Here is a 4,635-nt window from a genome sequence, read left to right as displayed (position 1 = left end):
TGAAATAAAGCATGAAGACAATATTAGAGAAAAAAGAATGGAAAGAAACAAGCAAAGCCTCCAAGAAATATGGAACTATGTGAAAAGACCAAATCTATGTTTGATTGGTGTACCAGAAAGTGACGATGAGAATGGAACCAAGTTGGAAAACACTCTGCAGGATATTATCCAGGAGAAATTCCCCAACCTAGCAAGACAGGCCAACATTCAAATGCAGGAAATACAGAGAACACCACAAAGATACTCCTTGAGAAGAGCAACTCCAAGACACATAATCGTCAGATTCACCAAGGTTGAAATGAAGGAAAAAATGTTAAGGACAGCCAGAGAGAAAGGTTGGGTTACCCACAAAAGGAAGCCCATCAAACTAACAGCGAATCCGTCTGCAGAAACCCTACAAGTCAGAAGAGAATGGGGGCCAATATTCAACATTCTTAAAGAAAGAATTTTCAACCCAGAATTTCATATCCAGCCAAACTAAGCTTCATAAGTGAAGGAGAAATAAAATCCTTTACAGACAAGCAAATGCTTAGAGATATTGTCACCACTAGACCTACCTTACAAGAGCTCCTGAAGGAAGCACTAAACATGGAAAGGAACAACTGGTACCAGCCACTGCAAAAACATACCAAATTGTAAAGACCATCAACACTATGAAGAAACTGCATCAATTAACGGGCAAAATAACCAACTAGCATCATTGCTAGTTGAATTGACAGGATCAAATTCACACATAACAATATTAACCTTAAATGTAAATTGGCTAAATGCTCCAATTAAAAGACACAGACTGGCAAATTGGATAAATAGTCAAGACCCATCAGTGTGCTGTGTTCAGGAGACCCATCTCATGTGCAGAGACACACACAGGCTCAAAATAAAGGGATGGAGGAAGATCTACCAAGCAAATGGAAAACAAAAAAAAGCAGGGGTTGCAATCCTAATCTCTGATAAAACAGACTTAAACCAACAAGGATCAAAAGAGACAAAGAAGGCCATTACATAATGGTAAAGTGATCAATTCAACAAGAGTTAACTATCCTATATATATATGCACTCAATACAGGAGCACCAAGATTCATAAAGCAAGTCCTTAGAGACCTACAAAGAGACTTAGACTCCCACACAATAATAATGGGAGACTTTAACACCCTACTGTCAACATTAGACAGATCAACGAGACAGAAAGTTAACAACGATATCCAGGATTTGAACTCAGCTCTGCACCAAGTGGACCTAATAGACATCTACAGAACTCACCATCCCAAATCAATAGAATATACATTCTTCTCAGCACCTCATCGCAATTATTCTAAATTTGACCACATAATTGGAAGTAAAACACTCCTCAGCAAATGCAAAAGAACGGAAATCATAACAGTCTCTCAGACCACAGTGCAATCAAATTAGAAATCAGGATTAAGAAACTCACTCAAAACCACACAACTACATGGAAACTGAACAACCTGCTCCTGAAAGATTACTGGATAAATGACAAAATTAAGGCAGAAATAAAGATGTTCTTTGAAATCGATGAGAACAAAGACACAACGTACTAGAATCTCTGGGACACATTTAAAGCAGAGTATAGCAGGAAATTTATAGCACTAAATGTCCACAAGAGAAAGCAGGGAAGATCTAAAATCGACACCCTAACATCAAAATTGAAAGAACTAGAGGAGCAAGAGCAAACAAATTCAAAAGCTAGCAGAAGACAAGAAATAACTGAGATCGGAGCAAAACTGAAGGAGATAGAGACATGAAACACCCTTCAAAAAATCAATGAATCCAGGAGCTAGTTTTTTAAAAAGATCAACAAATTAGATAGACCGCTAGCCAGGCTAATAAAGAAGAAAAGAGAAAAGAATCAAATAGATGCAATAAAAAATGATACAGGGGATATTACCACTGATCCCACAGAAATACAAACTACCATCAGAGAATACTATAAACACCTCTATGCAAATAAACTAGAAAATCTAGAAGAAATGGATAAATTCCTGGACACATACACCCTCCCACGTCTAAACCAGGAAGAAGTCGAAACCCTGAACAGACCAATAACAATTTCTGAAATTGAGGCAGTAATTAATAGCCTACCAACCAAAAAAAAGTCCAGGACCAGACGAATTCACAGCTGAATTCTACCAGAGATACAAAGAGGAGCTGGTACCATTCTTTCTGAAACTATTCCCAACATTAGAAAAAGAGGGAATCCTCCCTAACCTATTTTATGAGGCCAGCACCATCCTGATTCCAAAACACAACAAAAAAAAGAAAATTTCAGGCCAATATCCCTGATGAATATCCATGCAAAAATCCTCAATAAAATACCGACAAACCGAATCCAGCAGCACATCAAAAAGCTTATCCACCACTATCAAGTCGGCTTCATAACTGGGATGCAAGGCTGGTTCAACATATGCAAATCAATAAATGTAATCCATCACATAAACAGAAGCAATGACAAAAACCACATGATTATCTTAATAGATGCAGAAAAAGCCTTTAACAAATTCAACAGCCTCCATGCTTAAAACTCTCAATAAACTAGGTATTGATGAAACATATCTCAAAATAAGTTACCACAAGTTGCACAATGTGACCTTCAGCCATTATCTTCATGGTCCTGGAATGTGTGATACAAAGAACAATGTATAGCCAACCACTAATCAATGTTTTTTTTCTGTAAACCAATGAGAATTCCTGATGAGCAACTTTGTATAATCCCATTCCTGTCCCCCCTCTTCACCTTTAGAAACCTGCTTGTAACAAAGGCCAAATGGGGAGCTCATATCCAAATTTACTGAGGTCTGAGTTTTCTGGGCAACTGTTCTTACCTTGGCTTAAGTAAACTCTTTAAAATTATACTTTGTTCCTCAGCTTCTTCCTTTAGGTCAGCATGTCAAAATTACCATTTAAGTGTCATTATCAGTTTATTGCTCCTATGGATTCTGGTCCAGGTAAGCTGATCTCAGCTATGATTCTCTGTATTTGCTGGTGTCTCCAGATTTCAGGATGACAGTTTATTTTCTGACCTCAATTTTCTGAAGGTTTCAAGAAAAGCAATTGATTTTTCATTTTGTTCAAGATTTTTTTTGTAAAGATGGAAGTGACTATTTCCAAGCCCTCTATGTGTCAGAGATGAAAGCAGAAGTCGAATTTATTTTTTTATTTTATTATTTATTTTCTTTTCTGCTCCCATACTACAAGGAGAATTTATTTTTTAAAAAACAAAACTTAGCATCTAAAATTCCTTCTATGCCATATATTTATGTAATTGTAACCAAAACTTAGACATATTAAAATTTTAATGAGTTTTTTGAACATTTAACAATTCATGAATTACAAGCAGTTTAGCACTTTAGAAAGAGGGTGTGAGGGCAAAACTTTTATAAGGTGCTCATGGAAGCAAGACAAAGAAAATATTTGATTCATTAAAGTGGAAAGTCCCTAGTTAAGGGTTAGTTGGCAGTATCTGATCAGTTAAGCTAAAAGTTTCATTTTGCTATTTACGATGAGTTGGGTTTCAGTTTGCTTATATAGTTGGAAGTTTCTGATTGGTTAAGCTAAAAGTTTCATTTCACTATTTACAATGAGTTGGGTTTCAGTTTGCTTATGTAGGACCTAAGGCCTAAACCCATCTCAGCCTAATGGCCTCTCATTAATTTTGTAACACAAGTTTTTAAATCCAAAATACCTATGTTACACATATATATATATTATGTGTATATATGTACATACAATTTATTTATCTTTCCTTCAACTGTTGGATTTGAACTTTTTCTTGCTCTTCATTAGAACAATAAATATTCTTTTTTATGAACTTGTGTCAGTTTCTTTATGGCATAAACCTAGAAACTGAAAATCTAGATTAGAGACGTGAGTATCAACTTCTCTAGATACTAATTACTTTAACAACTTGTATTTCCAACAAGAATCTGAGAATTCTGTTTAACCTACTTTTTATAATACTTTTCCTACATAATGAATGTGAAATATTACCTTTTTGTAATTTTGACAAGTATTCCCCTTATTACTAGTGAGGTCGAGATATTTTCTTATATTTATTGGCCATTCAGGTTCTCTCCTCTATAAATTGATTTTTTACATATTTTAACCATTTTTCTATCAGGCTGTCATTTTGTATTGATTTGTAGGAACTCTTTCTATGCTGAATATTAATTCTTTGTTGATTTTATAATCCTGTGTTGATTACGTAACTTACTTTTTCTCCCTTATATGGTATCTTCTGATACAAAAAGTTTTTTTAATGTATAAAAATGTATTGGTATTTTCCTTTATGGTTTGTATTTTTGTGTCTTGTGGCAAAATTATTTTTCAATTCTCATGTTTTAAATGTTTTCTTCTGAAATTTTTTCCATTTCATATTTAGGTTTTTAATTCAACTAAATTGTTTTGTCAATTTCACCATGTAATTCAGTTTTCACTTCATATATTTCAAGGCTATGTTGTTACACACTCACAAATTCATTATTATTATATTCTCTTGGTAGAATGTTTTTTATCCCTATCAAAGTTTTCAGTCTTACATTTTATTTTATTTTAATATTGATATATCCTTTGTCTGGTTATTATTTGCCTAGTATATTTTTCAATACTTTCTTTCAAATC

General features: G+C 34.2%; 1 annotated feature.

The window, feature by feature from the left end:
- Positions 3,428-3,497: an enhancer, noted in NCBI's record as "active region_26280". NCBI's record gives its function as "activates an Ori minimal core promoter by ATAC-STARR-seq in GM12878 lymphoblastoid cells {active_cell/tissue: GM12878}" and the evidence as "EXISTENCE:reporter gene assay evidence [ECO:0000049][PMID:35858748]".

Source organism: Homo sapiens, chromosome 7 (genome assembly GCF_000001405.40).
Source record: "Homo sapiens chromosome 7, GRCh38.p14 Primary Assembly".
NCBI classification, from domain to species: Eukaryota; Metazoa; Chordata; class Mammalia; order Primates; family Hominidae; genus Homo; species Homo sapiens.
Note: the sequence above shows the minus strand (reverse complement) of the source record. Positions and strands in the feature narration are given on the sequence as shown.